Genomic DNA, 24,780 nt, shown 5'->3' on the forward strand with positions numbered 1-24,780 from the left:
TTTAGTGTTTTTTTTTTCTAAGAAGCAGTATTGCAACCTATTTGTTGATGACACTCATTTAGGGCAGAGGGAAGAAATTCATGGTACAGGAGAGAAAGAGTTTAATCATGGGAGCAAGGTCCTTGAGTGGGCAAGAGTGTATGGCAACAACTGCACAGAGGGAATTGTTGTGAGGCAGATTGCTCATCCTCTGTAACAGCAGGCAGAAGGCATTAACTATGGAAATGTGTATTTGGTCATTATTGATGGCCCACTTGAGATATGTGGTTATAGACCAAGAATGAGTCCAGTCAGTGGAGCTGTTTTTCTTTGGTAACATTTTATAGCTTGACTACACTCAAGCTGTACGGAATGGGCAGTGGAAAAGATTTGAGCTTAACCCTGGTTGGATGTCTGTCAGGTAAGTAAAAGGGCACATGCATGAAATTCTGCATCTTTCATAGGGTTCACAAACACATTATGGTATATGAATTAATGCAACAGAGGATTCAAGAACACTGTAATACAGGGCAGCATGGAGCAGGGAAAGAGATTTTTTTTTAATGCTTTTCAGAATTTGATACGTATACCTAACTTGAACACAATAGTTGAAGCTTTGCCAGACAGGTCGGTAGGGGCTTTCTCATCTCCTTGTACTAGTAATTTCTTCTTGGCCTTTAGAGATGGAACAGCATCCACCTCTGATTTTTCTTGTTAGAAGGCATATCAGAATCTCTCAGGAATGCAAGTGTAGTGTTCTTTTTTCTTTATTTAAGTTTACGAAATACATGCTTATAGAAAATTAAAACATTATAGAAATATGTAAAGCCACCCATGAAAGTTCTTCCATAATTCTGCTTCCTAACAAAGCCACTGTTAGTAATGTGGTGTTACTTATATTTTAGAGCATCAAGTTGTCCACAAAAATGCTTGCACAACTTTTTTTTTTACCCAAGTTTAGAAATCTTGCCCTAATAATCCAGACATTCCTCACTCTCTTAACGAATACTTAGAAACAAATTGCATAAAGGTACCATCTATTAAACCAGTCCCTTACTGACAGGGCATTTGGGCTAGTTTTAAGTATTAAAGAACAAAGGTGCAATGACTTTGCTTGTGTACACTTGTCAGATCATTCCCATTAGGCAGTTTCCTAGGAATGAACTTAGTAGGCCAAAAGGTTCAAAGTTTCAATAAATCCCAGAAAACTACATTCCTAAAGGCTGTGACAATTATACTCCCACCTATGGCATACAAGATGGGTAATGTAATTGGAAGTGCTTGTTCAAAATCATGGTGCAATTTTTTAATTTGGAAAATTTAAAAAATTGACTGTTCTTATAACTGTGTTTTCTAATTATAGAAGGTGAAGTCTGACAAATCTTGATTAATGGGGAATCAGGATCCCAGGGCAGGATTTATAAAACTTGTATTTACCAAAAAGAGGCATCAGTATTAGAAACTTTAAAACTTCTCTTTAAAATCTCCGCAAGATTGCAGCCCTTGCTACAGCTTTAAATAGCTGCACTGGTATCTCCAGTTATTTTCCCCAAGTTTCAATACCAGTATTGGTATCCTACTAGTTGAGGAATAAAATCCATACTTATATGAGCTTTCCCCAGAACAAGCCAGCTTTAGTCCCATTATTCGACAGTAGCAGAACATTCTTTGTCCCAGAACACACCGCACACTTTCTTGTGCCTGGTTTCATCACTTTATGCCTCATCTCTTTTCCTTCTTTGTCTTCCTTCACTTCAAGGTAATCTCCAATGCCACTTACTCTATGAAGTCTTCCACAATCCTTCCTGAGAAAAATAAATGGTCTTATCCCTTCTGTTCCCCCAGCATTTCACCTGCACCTCTGTTACAGAATTTCTATACTAAGCTACCAAACTGGAAGTCTTAGAGGATAGACACATCTTACTTGTCTATTTCCTGAACAGTATCTAGTGCAGAACTTTGTAGAACATACACTCAAAAACTGTTTTTGGAATAAACATACATAAATTAAGACTTCAAATCTTTTAATCTCAAATTATTAGTCACAGATGTTATTTTTTAAAGGACTAAAAAAAAACTACTGCTCCTTCAAATGTCCTAATTATCGGTTTCATACATTTTTTTTAAAAAAGGGGGTTTTCTAATAAGACTGTCAAAATATTACATCTAGAATAGTTATGTTCAATAAACCTGCATTTACTTGATATCTGCATCTTCCTAGTATCACAAATTGTTTTAGAAATAAAAACACAGGGGTAGGGGACAGGGGACAGTTTATTGTAAAATATGAAGCAGCAATGATTGAAGCAAGTGAATTTCTCCTTTATATTCCCAGCCAGAGCACAAAATGACTGGATATCCTCATGAACGCCAAGCTTTTTTTTTTTTAATTAAAAAGAAAAAAAAAGAGAGAGAAAAAATTCCACATTCATTAAAATCTCTTTCTCTTGATAATTTCTGGTTTCCAGCTGACTGGATGAGTTTCTTCTGTCTAAAAATAGAAAAGTGAGTTAAAATAAAGTATTATTAGTTTGCTTCATGTCTAATAGGCTTCCTTTCTAACAAAAATAAGGTATCTAACATTATTCATTGGCTTTATACACTTAGTTCTTTGACAGTTTTAGGAAGAGTTGATAAACTTCTGGCATTATCCAAGTCTAATAACAGATGGATGGATTCATTATGTTTAGTTTGTAGTTTTCCATCTAAAATAACATTTCTACTTGGATATTCTACTAACACCAAAGCTTATGATTCTCGAATTAATTTACATAGCAATCTATTTATTTGCTGTTATTCTTGGTGCAACATTTCCCAGCAACTATAACAAAGGAAGTTGGGATAAAATTAAAGCCATCCATGGATTCACTGGCATCAGTGAAACAATATAGAAATATATAAATGGACACTATTCAAGAAGACAGATATCTTAAATACTATAAAGATTATTTTTCCTTCTGATAATTAAATGAGAATATGCTGCCAAATTGGTATAGCTGTTTTACTTAACGAATGTGAAACACAGAACTTACGGCTGTGTCATCCTCTCTGTATACTTTAATGGTTTTATCAGCTTCAGCTGTTAGTAATCGACTTTCAGACTGATCAAAAGCACAAGCAAATATTCCTGATTCACTGTCCAAAGACCCAGGTTGCACAGCTGCGTGAACTCTCTGAAAATTGTAGCCAGTTCTCCAGTCCCAAAGATGCATGGTGCCATTGTCAGCTTAAAGGGAAAAATCTAGTTACACCTGGTATCCCCTCAGCAGTACAGCTTGACAAACATTTATGAAGCATCATTAGCCCAAGCATGGGAATACTACGGTTATAAAAATACATAAGACACAGGCACTCCACCTTCTCTTAATATTGGTTTGTCTACTTTCATTTGGGCTGGGTTCAGAACTTATAGATCTTAAAAAGCACCTGAAAATCTGACATCCAATTCCAGAATAATAAACAAAATTTTAAGCAATTCCCAGCATAAATCCCTGAGATTCATTAGATGGGAACTCAAAGAGGACTAAGCTATGAAATATACTACATGTAATATGAATATGCATGAACACACATAATAACATGCAAATATGCCCTAACCAGGCAAGTGCTGCTATAATACTTAAGTGTGACAGCTTAGAAGCATTACAAATGTTTATTCATCATTAAAAGAAAAAATAACAGACTAAACATATTTATTATAAAAATCTTATTTTACCTCCAGATACAAGCACTCCATCAGAATTTACCGTCAATGTGTTAATAATAGCATTATGACCGGAAAGATTTTGAATGAAACTTCCATCAGGGAATTTCCACTGCTTTATGTTATCTGGAGAACCAGATGCAAATGTGTAACTGAAATAATATTAAAAAGAATTAACGACAAAGTAAACCAAGTTAAATAAAGTGGTGGGTTTTAAAAAGTTTATTTCAGTTATATTTTGCAGTGTGTACTCAATGATTTATATATTCAGCAAAATAGTCGTATCAAAATGTAAAAATATTAAGACATTTGTTCAAGGTTAAATCAGACCTTCACATTTTTAACAGTATATTTTAAGTCCTAGATTAATGTTTTGTTCTCCTTTCATTTCCTTAATGCTCTGCACTAAGCCAGAGCAATAAATGTGCAGAAGCCCTATTTCACATGAAGGGCAATGTGTTATGCAACTCTTTTGGAGGGAGGGAGAGCAAGACAGGACAGGAAGAAAGAGAGAAAAGGAATAGAGGGCAAGAGGAAGAGAGAGAACAGGAGGGAGGAGAGGCGAAATGGGAGTGAGAAAGATAAGCAAAGGAAGGAAGAAGAGAGGGGGAAAAGGGTATGGAGAGTAGAAGACAGAGAAGAGGAAAGGAAGGAGAGGAAGAATCCAGAAAAGTGTCAGAGTGATCTGATACACCAAACAATAGTTGTGATATTATGCTCCACCTTTTTGGATACTCTGACTGTAATGTTCACGGTTCTTATTATTTCTGTTTCTACATATATTAACTTCCTCCTTAAGAATTAAACTATTCAATGAATGTCTCAGTGTCCAAAATCATTTATGTCCAAAACATTAAGCCTAGCCACTAATATCTTTTATTTTGACATGCAGCATTTAATCATGATTTACACTGTCTCATTTGACATTATTTATTTGTTATCAAGTAGAAGGCTTTCCTCATGTTTTATAGGGCATGAAGCAAAATAGTGCATGAGGAAAATAAAAGAAACACACGTTCCTATGCGGCACAGGCCTAGAAATGACAGCAGCTAAATGACTGCCAAAAGCAGTGCTAACACCACTAGCATTTCAGCATTATCTTAAGAACTGAAGAAAAACAAGAAGCTAATTAGGAAAATACACTTACTGTCTTGGATGTAAAACCACAGCCCTAACTGATTTTTTGTGATTTGTTAATGTCACTCTTGTTTTTCCAGCCACCAGATCCCATAATCGAATTGTAGTATCATGGCTTCCTGTAATGGAAACACATATATCCCTCAAAACATAGACCAGGAAAAATAATGCAAAAGTTAAATAAAATACAAAGCATTCTTCCAAAACACATATGTTCTAAATGAAAGTCATATCACACGCAAATTAGTCTTGGCTAATTTCTTCATAGTTCCAAATTTTTAGGTTGATTTTAATTCTTTAAAAAAATGCAATACAACAATTGATTCACTGTCAATTGAACAGCTAAAACAAATGCAAATAACAAATAAATATATAATTGTATACCCTAGTGAAAAGGAAAAAACTTCAATGATTTTTTTAAGTTAATAAAATACATCAGGCAAAGGAATTATTTTCTAGTATTAAAGATCCATTGTTACTAACTTTATTTAGAGCAAAGTAAGATTCAAATCAGTTCTAAAGATTACTAGTCTCAAGATGTTTTGTCTTCTAACTTCAATTTCTTAGAAAAATAATTTTGACACTATAAAATAATAATTGTTCATAACACAGTATTCTAGTCAGACATTACAGGATACTATGTATGGCATACTCTATGATATGTAAAAAGCATGAGGTAAAAACAGTGGAATGAAATTTCATTTGAATACATTTCAATTGTCCATGATTAAAATATGACACAGAAACACTGTAAACACAATACAGAGCAAGAGTCATCATGAATATTAAAAGTATATGTATAATAACATGGATTCTGACATGAATATTCTGTAAACTTGAAAAGTATCGATCATACCTGTAATAATTTGTGGTTCTGCAGCCTGACATCTCACTGTAGCAACTGCATTTGTATGTCCAGATAATGTGTGTACACTGGCTTTAGTTCTCACATCCCAAATCTATAAAAACACAATAGACATATTAGGAAAGAGAATAGGTATTCATTATCTCAAGAAGATAACTGGATCAATTCAAGGCTGAAAATTTACTACATAACTAGTGCCTGAATATAATAAAGAAAATGCTTAAGTGAAAGATAATGATTTACAAACTGGAGGACGAATATAAATAGGAGACAACTTGCAAGAATTCTAAAAAGCTAAAAGATCAGGGTACTGAAAATCTAAGAATGAGTATGATGGGACTACTTTTTAAGACTACTGAATGAAAGAACTAATGGACAATAGTTGTTACAGAATGGAACGTGAGAATATCACATTTCAGGGGCAGGGCACTAATAACACTAACATGGTGAGGCCATACAACTGAAGACTAAGGTGGAAAAAAATGCAAGTTAAGAAACTTAGGGACTAGGATATTGATGACTCAAGACAGCTATCTTTAATTCTCTATCAATCAATTGAAGACACTGAAACCGAAAGTGCACCCTACAAGATGCAATATATTTACAGATAAATACACAACTCTATCCCATTTACCCGTGCAGTTGAATCTCGACTACAGGTTACCAACACATCGATTGTCGGGTGCAAATCCAAACCATACACTGCACTTAAATGTCCATGATAATGCCGTATAACCTAAAGACAAAGCAGGAAAGTTAAAACTTCTAGAATTAGAAAGATAAATAGTAGTTCACAATGTTTTAAATCCTTAACTCCAAACTTACCTTATTGTATTCGAGATCCCAGCATTTCACTTGTTTGTCTTCTCCACAAGAGAACAGATATGGGCTCCTTGTGCTTACTATCACGCCCCGCACAGTACTAATATGCCCAGTCAATGACAGTTTTAATTTGCCACTAGCCAAGTCCCAGATCTGCAATCAAAGAATATTTATTTTTTTCTTTCACTGGTTACTGCAAAACAAAATTTTAGAAACCTGATTATTAAAACTGAGCTTTCAAAGACAAAAGGAAAAAGATAACAAATACGTAAAAATAAAAAATTTTGCAAAATGACTCCCCTCCAAATAAAAGCAAGAAAAAAACTGGCATGCTCAAACTGGAAAAATATTTGCAATTAGATGACAAAAGGTTAACCTTCTTGTTATATAAATGATATCTTTGATAATAACAGTAAGAAAAGTATGGTATTAAATTAACTGAGGCTGGCAACAACTTAAAGAAATCCTAAAAGCAGCAAATACAGATATGAAAAAGTTCACACTCATTAGAAATTTCATACAAAGTTTTTTAAAAAGATTAAGTATCCATTTTTGCTTACCATATTAGATATTTGTAAAGGAATGTACAACCAATGTGCTGAAAAGGATCCTCTCATACACTGCAAGTATCGATTCACCCATTTGGAAAGTAATTTGTACTTTGGGTATCAGCTTCAAAAATATTTGACCCATTTATTCCATTTATGGAACTCTACCATAACAAAATAATTTAAAATACAGAAAAAGTCTTATATACAAAACTTAACAGCATTACTTGTAATGGTGAAAATCAGACTAAAAACTCTACTGTCCAGTAATAGGAAAACAGATTACAGACTATCTAAATGATATAATATTATGCAACCACTTTAAAAGATGGTAAATTTTTCACAGGAATATGCCTTTGATACAACGTTAAGTGAAAAAAGCAAGATACAAAATTACATACTAAGAATGATTTTTTAAAAGATACACACACAGGAAAAGAGCTTAGAAGTGAAGGTATTGATACTTACAGAAATAAATACTAAAACGAAACTTATCCAAATATCTAACAATGGTAGGATTATATACAGGTCTATGTACTTTCCTAATTCTCTATATTTTCCACATTTTCTATGAATGAGCATGCTCTTAATTTTGTAACCAGTTGGAGAGAACAATGTAAGTATAAAGGAATTAGTGGTAGGTATTCAGTAGGTAAAGAAAAAGTGGTTTAAATAGCACTTTTCAAACAGATATTTATTTAGAACACTTATTAGTATAAATGATAAATTTTACTCCTTATTCAGGTCTAAAATAACAGAGGAACTGCAATAGCAATTCCTGCCACAGGAAATAATAACTGATTAAACTTACATGACAAACACAAAGTCATGTTTATTTTTTCTTCCTTCATTATTACCTTTATAGTTCTGTCAGCAGATCCAGTAACAAACCACTGATTTCCAGGTTCCACAGCAATACATCGAACCCAGCCAAGATGCCCACTGATAACCTGTATAAAACAAAGTAGAATGGGCAGGCCAACGTAGAAGTTAAAATGTATTTAAGTTTAACTGCAGCCCGAGTTTGAATTGCCCTCCCATCTTCAAATCATAAAAGATAATGACTATTACATTTTACAATAATATGAAATTATCTTCAGTGAGTTAATAGTTAACACAAATTGTGGCTCATCTATATAATGTAAACTACTCAGTAATAAAAAGGAATACATTATTAATACTTGCAACAACTTCAATGACTCACAAAGTATTAAGCTGTGTGAAGGAAGCCAGTCTCAAAAAGTACATATTGTATGATTCCATTTATATGACATAGTCAAAAAGACACAGCTAAACCAACCTAAGTGTCCATCATGAGGTGAATGGATAAATAAAATGTGGTACATACACACAATGGAATACTATTCAGCCATAAAAAAGAATGAAATTCTGTTATTTGCAACAACATGGATGGAACTGGAAGATACTATGTTAAGTGAAATAAGCCAGGCACAGAAAAACAAATATTGCGTGCTCTCTCTCATATACGGGAGCTAAAAAATAAATGATCTTCAGAGTTGAATGATGGCTACCAGAGGTTGGGAAGAATAGTGGGGAGGCAGAAGATAAAGAAGAGGTGGATCACGGGTACAAAAATAGATAAAGGGAGTAAGATTTAGTGTTTGGTAGCACTAGTTTGGTTAGCTAGTTTGGTAGCACTAGTTTGGCTAGTTAGCTTGGTAGCACAATAGAGTGACTACAGTTAAGAGTAATTTATTGTATATTTCAAAATAACTAGAAGAGTAAAATTGGAATGTTCCTAATACAAAGAAATAATATCCCAATTACCGTGATTTGATCATTACACACTGTATGTTTTTCTTTGTTTTTTGTTTTGAGATAGGGTGTCACTCTGTCGCCCAGGCTGGAGTGCAGTGGCGTGATCTTGGCTCACTGCAACCTCCGCCTCCTGAGCCCAAGTGATCCTCCCACTTCAGCCTCTGGAGTAGCTGGGACTACAGGTGTGCTCCACTACACATAGCCAATTTTTGTATTTTTTTGTAGAGGCGGGGTTTTGTTGTGTTGCCCAGGCTGGTACTGAACTCCTAGGCTCAAGAGATGCGCTTGCCTAGGCCTCCCAAAGCACTGGGATTATAGGCATGAGCCACCATGCCTGGCCTACACACTGTATGCTTGTATCAAATTTGATATGTAGCCCATAAATATGCACATCTATTATGTTAGCCATAAAAATTAAAAATAAATTAGAACTGAAATTATTGAAAAAAAATAAGACAACTATAGTGATAGAAAACAGATCAGTGATTGTCAGAGGTGAAGGAAAGTGTAACTACAAACGAATAGCACAAGGGTGTTTTTTGAGGTGGTGTAACATCTATATCCTAATTGTGGTAGTGGTTACCCAAATCAATACATCTATTACAATTCATTAGAGCTGTATGTCAAACAAAAAGGCTCTTACTGTACAATCATTTGAAAAATGAAATTTTTAAGATACATATTAAATTATGTGTAGCTGTACATTTCCTACTATGTACATTTTCTTTTTTAAAATTTTCTGTTTTTAATTTTTGTGGGTACACAGTAGAAATGTATTTATGGAGTACATGAGATATTTTGGTATAGGCAAGCAATGCAAAATAAACAGTATGGAACACTTCACGAATCTGTGTTATCCTTGTGGAAGGGCCATGCTCATCTTCTCCGTACCATTCCAATTTTAGTGTATGTGCTGCTGAAGTTAGCATGCATGTCCATTTTCTTTTAGATGATACACTCTGAATCATTTTCATTTATTGTAGTTGAAAGAGTAACTGGTAGGCCCAAATAAATTTCTTTATATGGTGTTTTTCCCCTTCACCTTCAAACTAAATACTTTGAACACTTTTTCTACATTTATTTAGTCTGCCATCCATATTTAGTAGCTTTATCTTGACATTTCATACTATTTTATATAAAAGTATAACTTTTGCTTAAGGAAGTCACCTTCCCAAGAGATCTTTTAAGATACTCCCTACGACTCTTCTCAATCCACCTCAGATCGCTCTACCAGCTTTTCATATTCACTCTTTTTCCTCCTTATTCTATTCTTCAGTGCTTGTCAACTACAAAGCAATCATGGTTCACATAATAAAATAAATGCAGAGTCACTCACCCTGTAGAGTTTCCACGGTGGGTGCCACTGGGGTTTTGGCATTGTAGGGGCTTTTTTAGCCATCAGTGCAGAGTTCTTGGTATTGCCAGTCTCCATGACAATCTAGACATAGAAGAGACATTATTATTATTAAAGACATCATACCTAAGGCTTCATGATATCAATTCAGAAATGGAAATGGAAAGAGGGAACTTACAAAAGAATTTTTCCATAAATGAAGAAATACAATTTTCTGTATGTTAACTTAAAAAAGCAATTATAAAATCACAGACAGGCAGAGCATTAGACTTAAGAGCACACATCACTGTGTACGGGTTCAAAACCCAGCTTGGCCAATTACTAGCTGTTTGACATTAGGTAACAATCATGTAACCTCTATGTGGCTCACCTGTAAAATGGGAAGAATAGTGCCTATTTCATAGGGTTACTACAAAGATTTAATAAGTAGTAAATGCTCCATGTAAGCTCCCAATATTAAAGTCATTTTAAGTGTATTAGTGCCACTGTCTTTCATTGTCATATTTTAACATTATTGGTTTAATATAGCAAAGACTGACAGTTCCTTCTATTTATCTTCTAATACAATATTTAAATACTATTTTAACAGGTATACTGCCTGATATACCATCTGTTGTTAGCAGTCATCTAGTCATCCAAAACATAAATAAGCCCATAAAGTTCCTGCCCTCAAGAAGCTTAAATTATACCCTCATAAGGAGGGTAGAGAGCCTGGACAGAAGACGTGCTCTGAATGGAATAAAGGAGGAAAGGAGATGTGGCAGTTACACATTCATTCACTTCATAAAGTCAAATCAATTGCATAATGAGCTGAGAAGCAAAACCAGCACTTATTTCAAGTGGCAGCATATTTTATTATGCTGCAGATAAATCAATAAAATAACTATAGAAAATTCAACAACTATTTCTACCATACTAATACCAGTTGCCATTTACTTACAAACAGATAAACTTATTTCTAAATGCTCATTTATAAGACTAGTTGTATAGCCCATGAATAGTACAACACTAACAGCACTCAAGATAACTGTACACACCAACTTAAAATTTAATAAAAAAAAAAAGACTTTCATATTCAATACATACTAACACAAGTTTCAGAAAAACTCTCCTTGCATTTTTAATAGTGGGCAATAAATACCAACATCACATTATCTTTATCAAAATATATATTACACACAATGTACAAGTAGACAAATAACAGAATTAAATTCCAAAAAATACGTTAATTTACTACCAACTTGAGTTTTAGGGCTATGAAATATGAATGACTAGCTCAGGCTGCTATTTATCTTAATAATTCCAAAGAAGAGGGAAATATGGCAACATGTTCCAAAAGTTAGAAACCTGCTATTTGATGCAGAAAAACTTACTGAATTCATCGCTGTAGGCTGTGGACGGTCAGAAGCCCCAGGATGTCGGTATTCACTTCCACTAGGGGCAGTACGATTTGCATCAGCCCTGGGGCAAAAGAAATAATATTTTCAAAGTAATTAATGCCTCCAGTCATGTATTCTGCAAAACTAACCCTTTATTTTAAATTGTTATAAAGTCCTGATAAAGGAAAATGTCATATAATAGTTATAAAGAAATTTTAAAAAGAAAAAATGTGAACAGTGAAATATGCTTTTAAGATCTTTGTAATTATAATATTTCATACTTGGTCTGCAAAGGTAATGCCACCGCTAAGGACTGTGCAGCTGATTCACTTGGCATTCTCTGGATCTTAGTATCTGCTGTCAAAGCAACCCCTATTAAAATGAAAAATCAACTTCTTTTAGTAGCTGTGTATTATTCATTTACATGCACTTAAAATAAAATGATGAAGGAAAACATACACCAAATGTTTATTATCTCCAGGCAGTGATATTATACAAATTTGATTAAGTTTTGCTCATCTTTGTTTTTAATTTCTACAATAAATACTGCTTAATAACACGTAACTCAAATTTGATTTGATCACAGCCCACATGGTATTAAAGCAGCCCAGAATAGTAAAGTTAATTTCCATTATATTTGGGTATTAGTTTCAAGTCAGTATTAAGCAGTTCCTCAAATACTAACAGAATGTTTCCAAGAGTGGATGTAACTTACTAAAACTAGAAACACCCAATTTCCCTGTACTTTCTTTACATACTAAGCCTTTTGTCCTCTACCCTGTTACACTGGCCACTCCATCTGTGGACCAATGCCTTAATACAGACAGAGGACATGTTTCTCAGATACTGCTTCTAACATTTCCATCATTTTTACAAGCTTAGTGATATTTACATGTCTGCCTAAACCACCAGATAATAAATAACTAGGCCTGCAACAGTTTTACTGTCTTTGAATTCCTAGCACATTGCCTGAAAAATTATACGTACTTAAGAATGTTTGCTGAATGAAGGCATATGAGTATTCATTATTACCTACAAAGCTATGCATGGATGCTTGGCTACTGAGCTTATCTTGCATTTTATAGGCAACAAGAATCTCATTATTGGCTCGTTAGTGAAAATATATGTGACATTTTTAAGACATTTTCAATATATAACAGCTCACTAACCAGGTCCTGGTGGGTATGGATGTGTACCTGCCACAAAGTATTCAACTTCTTGTCCTAAAAAAACACAAAAAAAATCAACAGTAGTGAATTTACCTTATACAAAAGTTATCATCTCTTTAAATGTATCAAGTAATATTAAGTTTTCAACTGGATCTATCAAATTTTCTCAACTAAAGTCAAGCCTCAGAAATAAGGGAAGTTGATCACTTTTGCTTTGATCTCTGTAAACCATGTCCTTGACCATTTGCTATATAGCAATGGTATACAAAGAAGCCCTCCTATCAAGTGACAATCCACTCTGGTATTTCTTCCAAGCAAATGGTTTCCTGTGGAATCTTGAATTCTCTTTACTTATTAAGATTTCAGTATTTAATTTCATCTTTCTGAATTACAGACAAGATAGATGGTGTCCTCACAGGTTAAGAATATTCTCCAATTTTTTCCTTTAATCTCTACTGTGACCTTCTCCACACTCTAAGAATCTCTGCCATCATTATACTACCATTTTTATTTCCTATAAGAAAAAAGTCATCAACAGTATTCCCATGAGGATCAAAACTTCCATTATAATACAGGTACGGCCATTAAATACTGTACGACCACAATAAGTCCTGCCAGGAGGGGCAAAAATAACATATTTTATTTTTCTGTTTTTAAAATTCACATATAAGTCTGACATTTCTGATAATACCATACTCACCTTGATTGGCAGGGTACTGTTTATGAACATATGAATCCGTTGCATTCTGAGGACCCTTCTCTTTAAGATTTTCTTTTGAAGTAGGCATATGCAACACAGGACCATACTCATTACGAAGCTTGATTGCCATTTTTCGTTTGTGACTATTTAGAAATTATAAACATAAGAACGTATCCATAAATACTTTAAAACAAACACTTAGCTTAAGTTTGCCCATTCACGTAGAAAAAGTTTCTAGTATGATTTTAAGTAGTATTTAAAAGAATCAAAAATTTCCAAGGGCATTTCCCCACCATATCTGTTCTTTTGCTTACATTCGACCACACAGCATTCATTAAACCTACGTAATATTTTAGTTTGTTACCTAATAAATAGAAAACCTTTTATGATAAATTGTCAAGGGTCTGACTGAAAGATATACAGAAACTAACATACCCTTTAAGAAACCTCAAAGTCAATATACTTTCCTTCAAAATATAAATATAGTAAAAACTCTATAGCAACCTTTACTAGATGTATCCAAACAGGTTAGTTAGAACTAATCAAAGTACTTAATTGGTTCAATATCTTAAAAAGAAATGCATTTATATTACTTTTAAAAATAGTCTACTTTATAAATTAAATATAAATGCTTGTTTGAGGAGTTAAGTAGATTTTAAAAAGGTAAAGGACAAAGAAGGAACACTGCACATAATGCATTCCCAGACTGGAGCTGGATATGTAGAACCAAAAATATGCCACCACTCAAAAATCTTCATCATACTAACGAGAAAAGATGGGAGTAGAGGTACTAGCCAGGTACAATTTCAGCTCAGCAAGGCTCTGAGAGCAGCGGGAAGCTGAAAGCACATACAAAGTGATTGATTATAAAATAAAATACCTAAAAGGGACTCTCTTAATTACTGGGTATTTGTAAAATGCAATTAATTAATGGAACTTTTACTGTAAAAGGCCAAAAAAAAAAGTTAAATCAGCTTAAATTATGCCAAAACACCACTCATTATTGAATAATTAGCCCATGACTAGCTTATCTTTAAAGGACTCCCTCTCCCTGCTCTCTTCCCCTAGTATTAGAATGTTAAGTATTTTAGCAATTGAAAAAAAAAAACTACACCAACCTCTCTTCATCTAAAGGCACAGGTTTTCCATTATCAGCTACAAACATGTCATGGGTCCTCTTCAACGACCTGAACACAAGGGTGTGTACAGAATGTTTCTGTACCTCCTAAAAAAAAAGAATGTAATTACACACCTATCTACAAATTACACAAATCATAACCTAAAGTCAGATTGATTATACACTTCACGTGTTTAAATATGTAAAAAGCTTTATACCACTCACCATAGCTACTTGTTGCAAGCTACAGGAGTCAAGTTCAGAGAAGAGGAGGAAGCTCCTCTTTGGCTAGAACCTCAGGTTTAGCAACTGAGTGATGCCGGAGTTTAACTTACTCAATAAATATTTACTGAGCTCCTACTGTGTGTCTGGCAGGTATTGTGCTAGAATCTCACAATAGAATGATAAAAAGGTGGTCATGGTCCCTGTGCTCAAGAGGAAACAGACAAATAAAAAGTAAAATAATTCCACATTTTGATAAGTGCTATGAAGGCAACAAGCAAGGCGCTGAGTCAGGGAATGAAGGACTAAGTATAATTGTGAAAGATTTCACTAAGGTGATATTTAAGCAGAAAGGGAGTTAGCCTTGCACAAAACAGAGGTAAGAACGAACCAGGCTGATGGAAATGTCATGTAAAAAAAAGTTCAGTTAACTGAAATAATACAAGGAGCGCAGTACAGCTGTGTATGGAGGATGAGATGGTGCTTTGTAGCTGCAAGGGTAGACAAGGTCCAGATTAGGTAAGGTCTTTTAGACTATTACAACAGCCTATATTTTGTTCTAGCAACATAGGGTCAGTAAAGGGTTTTAAACAAGAAAGGTATGAACAACTTACGTTTTAAACAGAACAACTTATAGAACAAAATGGAAGCAAGGAAACCAACCAACGGGGAGCTAATGCACCAGTCCAGGTGAAAGATGATGTTGGTCTCAATTAAGGTGGACTGCAGCGGATATGGAGAAGAGTGAATGGAATCAATAAACATGTGGGGTAAGATGGACAAGACCAGCTAACAGCGTTGGCTGTTCATGCCAGGGAAAGATGTAAAGAACGGCAAGTTTTTCTGGGGGTAGAGGTGAAATAAGAGACGACCTGAACGCAAGATAGAGAAGACTACCAATCTTTTAGGGCACAGACTCACTGACACTGCCCCGAGGGCGGCAAGTACCAGTGGTCGATCACCAACAGAGGCCCCGCCTCCGAGGACACTTTCCAGCTCCCAAGAGTCAAACGAGGACTGGACGAATTATCTCAGGCTTCGCGCCCAGGCTGAACCTCCGACTCGGGTTCTCATCCGGCTTCTACCCCTTCCCCGAAAACCCGAAGAAGAGACCACTCGGCCTTGGCCAAATAGCTCCCCTCGTAGCCTCTTTTCTCTCTGGACTCCAAGTACTCTCAATCCCCCACGCGCACTGCCAAAAAAAACAGTCCAGAGACAAACGACTCTTGAGAGCCCCAGTGTCACTTTACCTCGACCATGATGCTACCGTGTATCCCACCTCCGGCAGGGAAGAAACTCTAATCACTAACGCAGTACCCGCCGCCACAGCTGTGCAGCACCTTCCGGAATTGGGCGCCCAGGCGGCGGATGTGATGCAAGCTCTGCGCACGCGCGCTAGTCTCCCTCGGCCATCTAGGATCAGGAGGCGGGTCTCCCTCCTCGGGACCGCCTCTAGGGCGGAGTCTCGAGGCTGAAAGCCGGAGACTCCTGGAAGGGCCTGGGTGGAGGGTTTCACTCGTCCCTCTGAAGAAATCTTAGAATTATGTTTTCTGCCTTAGTTGGGGTCCTGGTTGTTCGTGCTGTATTCCCCGGAAGCTTAACGCTTTTTATTCAGAGAACCTAAGCGTCTGGAGAGCAAACTCCCGTGGGCTCTATCTAAGGCATTTCCACTACCTTGATCTCTTTGGAGGTCGCCTGCGTGCTTTGTGTCTCCTGGTTCTAATCCTGGCGAGAAGCACTTGGACACTTGTAGGCTTAACACCTGAAAACAATTTCGCTTAAACAGTCCAGTAAACACTTGTTAAGTGAACGTTGAGGAATAGCTGTTTTAATTTGGAAAATTTTGACATGTAGTTATAACAAAACCCCATATTTATTTTCTGCTAATAGATTTTTTTTTTTAATTTCTCAAAACTGCATAGCTCTTGTCCATTTCCTAGTTGCCTGCTGATTATTGTGGCTTCAACAATGCCAGGGTACAGCTTTTCAAAGCTGGTAGAAGACACAATTGGAGACTTTAGCCATTTTTATTTATACATATCCTTGTGCCAAGTATTGGTATTTTTGCTTTCTACCCTGGTAAAATCTGTGGTTTGTGATCAACCCTACCCAATTATTTTTCTATGTAAAAAAAAAAATGGATGGACTTAGGCATTTACAAACTTAAATAGACAAACATTTTACTGGCCCTGTTTCAGTTTCACTAATCCTGTCCTGAGAGCATACTGCTTACACTTTGAGAGGGGGAAAAAATCTAGCAAAAGAATAGCAATATAAATCAACCTTACTTGGAAATTCATTAAAAACATTAAGGTCATGGGTTTTTGTTTGAGACAGAGTTTCGCTCTTGTCGCCCAGGCTGGAGTGCCATGGCGCGATCTTGGCTCACTGCAACCTCAGCATCCCAGGTTCAAGCTATTCTCCTGCCTCAGCCTCTGGAGTAGCTGGGATTACAGGCGCCCGCCACCATGCCCGGCTAATTTTTGTATTTTTAGTAGAGACAGCGTTTCACCATGTTGGCCAGGCTGGTCTTGAACTCCTGACCTCAGGTGATCCGCCCGCCTCGGCCTCCCAAAGTGCTAGGATTACAGGCATGAGCCACTGAGCCCTGCCTTAAGGTCATGTTTTTACTTGAAGATACAGCATCTCTGAATTTAACTGTGAGTTTGGCCTAAGAATTGCTTTTCTGTAAAGGTGGCAGGTGATGGTATTTCCTTGCAAGAAAATACCATAATTGTAAAATATATACTTGATGAACTAAATAATATACTCACCTATTAATAATAACTATAGAAAATAACATGATTTGAAATGACAATAAAACCATAGAAACCTAAGCAAGACTAATATATATGGCAATATATTAATTGTCTAGTTGGATCTATTAACTTTTTACATATTTAATCATCCTGGAGACATTAATTTAATTTCTCAATAACAACATGGTAATGATTGAGGTAAATTGCCTCGAATTTGCTCCTTTTAAAACACTGTCGTGAATTTATAGAATGATGTCATCCCCTTGAAAGTTTACAATATTTTAGATAAATATAGAACTCAAGTGACCCTATTATTTAGTTCAGGGATTCATGAATTATGTATATTGTAGGAAAATTTTGTATTTATATGGGAATATGTTTTATTTTCTGGAGAAAGGATCCACAAGTTTAATTGGATTCCTGAAAGGCTCCGTCATACACACATGGCCTGGCTGACACCCGAAGCTGCCTTATTTGAACAGCAGGTGTCACCACTGCTCTTTGTACGGGCCCTCAGGGCTGTCCTTAAAGCAGACACGGCAAGTAACTTATTAATATAAATTATTAGTATTATGTCTGTGTAAAACCAAGAATACAAGTTTTAAGGAAAGCCCTCCTTCTTTAGGCAAGATTTTTTAAACTCACCAATACAGAAACTCTTTTTATTCTCCTTCAAATATTGTCCTTTGCTCTTGAACAGTGATAGGTCATATGAGTATAGATTTGAGTGCCATTTTCATCAGCTTTTTATGATATTTTTATAGGAAGTGTTTTCTGATTCTTATAAAATAATAAATATTACTATTTATTTTTCTGTTTCAACTTAGAGGGTTAAATATACAAGCTTTAAAAAACACTATATGCAATGTTCTTTAGAGTTGTGTGGCTCAGTATGTCCATCCCTTAAATTTCATATTTGAAATTGTTCGTTAATTCAAAAGGAAGTAATCATGGGAGTTATCACTGTTTATTTGAATTTCTGAGGTCAAAACCTGTGAAAAATGATACTTGGACATTTCTTCCAAAACTTTGGTCTTTAATTGTTTAGCACAATGCTATGAATTTGCCTAAATACTAAGGTAGTGTTAGCAGATACTTTCTTGTAGCATAGTTGAAACAAGCTTCTGGGACTATAAGGAACAGTGAAGGGGCTGTTCTTCCTGTTAATGCCTGGAAAGACTTTGGGAATAATTAGATTGTACTATCAGTTATAAACTGTCAGTTATAAATATCTTAGCAAGGTGTATGTGTGTGTGTGAGAGAGAGAGAGAGAGTCCTCGGGTCTTACTTATCACAATTTCACCATCCTCTACTACATGAAGCCCCATCTCATGTGTATTAGTTTGCTAGGGCTGATGTAACAAAGTACCACAAACTGGATGGCTTAGACAACAAATGTTTATTGTCTCACAGTTCTGGAGGCAAGAGGCTTGAAATAAAGGCGTTGGCAAAGTTGGTTCCTTCTAAGGGCTGTGAGAGAGAATGTGTTCTATGCCTCTCCCCTAACTTCCAGTAGTTCTCTGGCAGTCTTTGCCGTTTCTTGTCTTCTGCTGCATCACTGTCATGTCTGCCTTCATCTTCACATTTCGTTCTCACTGTGCATATGCCTATGCCAAATTTCTCCTTCTTAAAGAACATCAATCATATTGAATTAAAGGCCCACCCTACTCCAGTATGGCTTCATCTTAACTAATTCCATCCAAAAATACCCTATTTCCAAATAAGGTCACATTCTTAGATACTGGGGGTTAGGAATTCATAATGTGAATTTGGGGGGACACAGTTCAACCCACAACACTATATCACAAAATAAGTGACAATATTGAACATAATCATGACTTTTGTTGTTTACCTTTACAAATAAGAATTTGTACTTACAAATATTTGCAGGCATTTACAAATGTTTTTATTTTACAGAAATATTTTTGGTGTTTATACTGCCACAGAAGAAATAACAATGTCTTGGTTCCAGCTTTCTTAGCTGAATGTTTTGTTGTAATATTTGTTTAAATATCTGTATTTCCCAGTAGACTTATGGGGTGAATATGGCATGATGTTTACTATCACACAGTCAGAATCTAATTGACTTGCAACTGGTAAGTTTTCAATATTTATTGAATGAATGAATAAGTAAGCTATTATATTGTACACTTAAATATGGGTTTAGGTGGCTTTGAGAGCTTAATTTTTTTTGAGACGGAGTCTGGCTCTGCCGGCCAGGTTGAAGTGCAGTGGCACCATCTCAGCTCACTGCAATCTCTGCCTCCTGGATTCAAATGATTCTCCTGCCTCAGCCTCCGGAGTAGCTGGGAATACAGGTGTGCACCACCACGCCTGGCTAATTACTTGTATTTTTAGTAGACATGGGGTTTTACCATGTTGGCCAGGCTAGTCTCGCACTCCCGACCTTAGGTGATCCACCTGTCTCAGCCTCTCAAAGTGCTGGGATTACAGGTGTGAACCACTGAGCCCAGCCGAGACTTTAATTTTGATTTGGAGTTGCAGCTACTGAACATGTAGGAAGGATGGTCTGTGAGTGTGTGTGTGTGTGTGTGTGTGTGTGTGTGTGATGTGCTCACTCCGAAAAGTTGCTATTTCAGTAACCATTAATTTAATCACAGTCTTTCTGTGTGTGTAATGCAGATAATTGCTTATAAAAGGACTGTTCAGTTCTGTATTTCTGATCTTTGTAAATTTTATGACAATGAAAAATATTTTCCATTACATTTAAGTAAGTTAATTCTAAATTTTATTTAGTTTCTATAAAACTTAGCAACTTAGTTACAAAATACAATTTATCTGTAGAAATATTTGCAACAGTCAGTTTAGTTAGCAGAAATACCTTTTGACATGAATAATTAAGAAGAGTAAGGCATTTGATTGAATATTTTACTATTATTATTAATTCATATTTATAGATCCCATTATATTTATATTACATAATGCTATTTAGACACTTCAGGCTTTCTTTTAGAAATATGCTACCAAAAGCCAGAATCATGTTCACAGAGAAATATTAAAAATATTCTTATTAGTCACAATACAAGGATGTCCACCATCACCACTATTATCCACGTGTATTTTTTATGAAAGCACTAGTCATTCAATTGGACAAAAAAATTAAATTGTGTAAAATAGGAAATAGGGATGAAAAGTTATCTTTATTTGCAAACGGTATGACTTTCTACCTGAAAAACCAATTGAAAAAACTATTCGAAACAATATGAAAATTCACTGAGTATAAAAATGTTATTAAAAATCAATAGTTTTCCTTTATGCAGTTAAAAATACAGCAGGGAAAGGGATTTTTATTTAAAATAGCAATAAATTTTAAAATGTGCAAGACCTAAAGGAAAAAAAAATTAAGAGACGTGAAAACCTGAATCAGGGACCTCCCTCCTCTCTGTGCATGTGGCCTCACTACTGCTGCTTCTGGAGGGACTGAAAAATCCCTGAGACCAGCATCTCAGGGATGCTGGTCTGGCAGTCAGAGAGGTCTCTGAGCTGACAGGATTTCCTGAAATGCTGTGAAAATTTTGCATCCTGAAATCCATGCTGGAATCCTGGCTCATAATATCCCAAAAGGTAATGCTGACATGGCCAGGCCTGATTGTTGCCTGTAATCTCTATCCCTTCCTGAAGACAGTGGCTTCTCCAGGTGTAATGGTTGAGAGGCTGTTGAGCAAATTGGTACTGGTAGAGTAACTTTACTGAGAGATGCCACCAAAAACCACAATCCAGTGACAGTGGTGTGTCAGAGGACTATGAGGCAGTGTCCACAGACAGGCAGAGCTCCAAGAGTAAGGACACCTTCTTGGAGACTAGGTGCCAGTTAGTCTTGAAGGCATTCACATTCACTTATATGGCACAATATGATGAAGCAATTTCAGATTACCTCAGGAAATAGCACAGTAAAGGAATATCTCAGATGCCCTTGCAGTACAGAATGATCCCTCATCAGACTCCTGTGCAGCTATACACACTGAAGCCTAAGCTTCCCATCACAGTTCTAAATGGAGCCCCTGGATTTAAAAACTTTTGTGATGCTTTGAATGCCTGGCAGCTGGTGAAGGAACTCAAAGAGGCATTAGGCATTCTATCTGCTGCCCTTTTCAAACATGTCAGCCCAGCAGATGCTGCTGTTGAAATTCCACTCAGTGAAAATGAGGCCAAAGTCTGCATATATCATAAGCAAAGTTAAAAGACAAATGAAAAATTGGGAAATATAGGCAATGTGTATGTTAGCCACAGGGCTAATTTTCTTAATAAGAAAAGAGCTCTCATGAATCAACAGAAAAAATGAACAACTCAAAAGACAAGGCACATGGACAGGCAGTTCACAGAAAGACCACTGACATTGTGGCTGATATGTAAATTGAAAAGATTCTCAGTGTGCTCATGATGAAAGAAATTTTAATCACAATAACAATAAGATAACATATTTCACCTAATAGGTTGGCAAAAAATTTTAAAATTTGACAACAACAAGTGATGACAAGGATGAGGGACAACCTAAATATTGATGAGAGTATAAATGGTGGCAATCACTTTCATAGGCAGTTTAGCAATAAGCTGACAATTTTTTTCGAGACAGGGTCTTTCTCTGTGGCCCAGGCTAGACTTCAGTGGATGACCTCCTGGGGTCAGGCAGATCCTCCTACCTCAGCCTCCCAAATAGCTGGAACTACAGGTGTGCACTATGATGCCTGGCTAATTTTTTAATTTTTTTGTAGAGACAGGTGTCTCACTATGTTGCCTAGGCTGCTCTCGAACTCCTAGGCTCAAGCACCCTTCCTGCCTTGGCCTCCCAAAGTGCAGGGATTACAGGTGTGAGCCACCACTCCTGGCCCCAAAATTGTTTGCATACCTTTTGTTACAATGGATTTACTTTCCAAAAATGTCCTTGGTATGTATGTATGTGTGTTTGTGTGTTTGTGTGAGAGTGTGTATGTCTGTATGAATGTATGTATGTATTATATATAATCTTCATAGAAGGATGCAAAGATATACATACACAGGTGTTCATTTTGCTAAGGTAGGAACACCACATCAATACAAGAGAAAAAATAGCTTTGTACATAACAGGAAGAAACTGTCCATCATAGTAGGTAAGGGTATAGAGTCAGAATGCCATGATTCAACTCCTTCTCTGCAAGTTACCTGCAGCATCATCTTGGGTAACTTTCTTCTTTTTGTACTTCAATTCTCCCATCTGTAAAATGGGAATAATAGTACTACTCTACCTCATAGAGTTATTGTAAGAATTAAGTGTAACGTACTAGTAACAGTGACCGGCACAGAATTACTTGATCCATAAACATTAGTTATATGATACTAATTATCCCCGTTGTTCTAAAAGGGGAGAAAGCTGCATAAATGTAACCTAGAAGTCAGAGGTCAACACAGGCAGCTTCTATTTTCATCCTAAACTAAACCTAAAGTGGGCCTCGATTCTCCCCACAAGGAAACCTAGTACACAAAATACTAGTTAGCACATATATTAGTCTGTTCTCACACTACTGATAAATACATACCAAGAGTAGATAATTTATAAAGGGAAGAAGTTTAATTGACTCACAGTTCTGCAGAGCTGGGAAGGCCTCAGGAAACTTACAATCAAGGCAGAAGGGGAAGCAAATATGCCCTTCTTCACATGACAGCAGGAAGGAGAAGTGCGGAATGAAACAGGGAAATCCCTTTATAAAACCATTCAATCTTGTGAGAACTCACTCACTATCACAAGAACAGTATGAGGGTAACTGCACCCATGATTCAATTACCTCCCAACAGGTCCCTCCCACAACATATGAGGATTATGGGAACTAGAATTCAAGGTGAGATTTGGGTGGGGACACAGCCAAACCATATCAGCAAAGTAGATTGAAACATTGAGCAAATAACAAAGGATTGAAGGGAGATCCTGGACCCAATAGCATACTTTGTCCATCCTCATTCAACTTGCGTCTTTTTCTTAGTTTGTCGTTACCTCTTTATTATGTGGAGAGGATAGAGATTTTTCTGCCCACGTCTCCCCCTTCCCTAACATTGTATCCGTGTTTCTAGAAACCAGCCTTTCTGGCTTTCTTTGATTTATATCTAGGTTCCATATTTTTTCAAGTACATGTTTGTGTTTTTTAAAATATATATATGGATATACATACATGTATATATATCTTTTGCCCATTTTTATCTATAGGGCTCATGCTTTCTCATCAAACTGTAACTCTTCATAAAAATTTTATTAAACCTTTGTCTAATCCTGTGCACATTTTACAGAAAATATTGTTAATCTAATTCAAGTAATACTTATTAGTTATTAAATTGTGAAAGATTTTTGAAATTTTTGAAATGCATGTTACTGACATGCACCAAAATAAAAGTCCTCATTTTCCCTAGAGTTTCACTGCTAATACTATCAGACTGGCTGTCTTATTTTTAAGCATAAATTCCATGTTGGAAAGAGAAGCTTTATATTCAAATAATGTAATCCATCACTAAAGGTTTTCATATATTATGTATATGGGCGGGGCATGGTGGCTCACAGCTGTAATTCCAGCACTTTGGGAGGCCAAGGCTGGTGGATCACTTGATGCCAGGAGTTCCAGACCAGCCTGGGCAACATGGTGAAACCCTATCTCTACAAAAAAATACATATATACATACATATATACATATATATATATATATATATAGAGAGAGAGAGAGAGAGAGAGATGGAGAGAGACAGAGAGAGACAGACAGGGTCTTGCTTTGTCACCAAGGCTGGTGTATAGTGGTGCAATCTCAGCTCATTGCAGCCTCAACCTCCCAGGCCCAAGCAATCCTCCCACCTCTCAGCCTCCCAAGTAGCTGGAGTGGCTGAGACTACAGGTGTGTGCCACCATGCCCAGATAATTTTTTCATTTTTTGTATAGATAGGGTTTCACCACGTTGCCCAAGGTGGTCTCGAACTCCTGGGCTCAAGTGATCCTTGGCCTCCCAAAGTGCTGGAATTACAGCTGTGAGCCACTGCGCCCAGCCCATATGCTTAATATATGAAAACTTTTAGTGATTGATTACATTATTTGAATATAAAGCTTCTCTTTCTAACCTGCAATTTATGCTTAAAAATAAGACAGCCAGTCTGATTCCTAAAAATTTGATCTTAATTTTCTCAACAAATGCCAAAAATCATCTCAGTCAAAGTTAATGAAAGGTAAAATGAGTACTATAGAAAGGACATCAGGTGTCTCACAGACTGGGCTGT

The 24,780-nt window shown here is 36.2% G+C and overlaps 1 protein-coding gene and 2 pseudogenes across 2 annotated transcripts, besides 3 other annotated features; 1 reads left to right on the top strand and 2 right to left on the bottom strand.

Annotated features, from left to right (window-relative positions):
• Window positions 1–730: 730 nt before the first annotated feature.
• Window positions 731–16,126, bottom strand: PLRG1 (pleiotropic regulator 1). 2 transcript variants are annotated; one of them, NM_001201564.2, is made up of 15 exons: window positions 16,026–16,126; window positions 14,555–14,661; window positions 13,437–13,579; window positions 12,764–12,790; window positions 11,849–11,939; window positions 11,562–11,649; window positions 10,171–10,272; window positions 7,913–8,005; window positions 6,511–6,660; window positions 6,320–6,421; window positions 5,677–5,779; window positions 4,831–4,939; window positions 3,695–3,834; window positions 3,012–3,205; window positions 731–2,470 (listed from the first exon to the last, which is right to left on the bottom strand). In NM_001201564.2, exons 1-15 carry the CDS (start codon window positions 16,032–16,034, stop codon window positions 2,411–2,413), a joined length of 1,518 nt encoding a protein of 505 aa, NP_001188493.1. In that variant the 5' UTR covers window positions 16,035–16,126; the 3' UTR covers window positions 731–2,410. The 2 variants fall into 2 exon arrangements, with proteins under 2 accessions (NP_001188493.1, NP_002660.1); NM_002669.4 differs by having other exon boundaries at window positions 12,737–12,790.
• Window positions 9,659–9,763, bottom strand: RNU6-1285P (RNA, U6 small nuclear 1285, pseudogene; annotated as a pseudogene).
• Window positions 16,230–16,279: an enhancer, noted in NCBI's record as "active region_22078". NCBI's record gives its function as "activates an Ori minimal core promoter by ATAC-STARR-seq in GM12878 lymphoblastoid cells {active_cell/tissue: GM12878}" and the evidence as "EXISTENCE:reporter gene assay evidence [ECO:0000049][PMID:35858748]".
• Window positions 16,300–16,459: an enhancer, noted in NCBI's record as "active region_22079". NCBI's record gives its function as "activates an Ori minimal core promoter by ATAC-STARR-seq in GM12878 lymphoblastoid cells {active_cell/tissue: GM12878}" and the evidence as "EXISTENCE:reporter gene assay evidence [ECO:0000049][PMID:35858748]".
• Window positions 17,843–18,137: an enhancer, noted in NCBI's record as "tiled region #11496; HepG2 Activating DNase matched - State 12:CtcfO, and K562 Activating DNase unmatched - State 12:CtcfO". NCBI's record gives its function as "activates a minimal TATA promoter and a strong SV40 promoter by Sharpr-MPRA in HepG2 and K562 cells {active_cell/tissue: HepG2 | K562}" and the evidence as "EXISTENCE:reporter gene assay evidence [ECO:0000049][PMID:27701403]".
• On the top strand, window positions 20,963–21,716 carry LOC100422640 (5-aminoimidazole-4-carboxamide ribonucleotide formyltransferase/IMP cyclohydrolase pseudogene; annotated as a pseudogene).

Source organism: Homo sapiens, chromosome 4 (genome assembly GCF_000001405.40).
Source record: "Homo sapiens chromosome 4, GRCh38.p14 Primary Assembly".
In the NCBI taxonomy this organism is placed as follows: domain Eukaryota; kingdom Metazoa; phylum Chordata; class Mammalia; order Primates; family Hominidae; genus Homo; species Homo sapiens.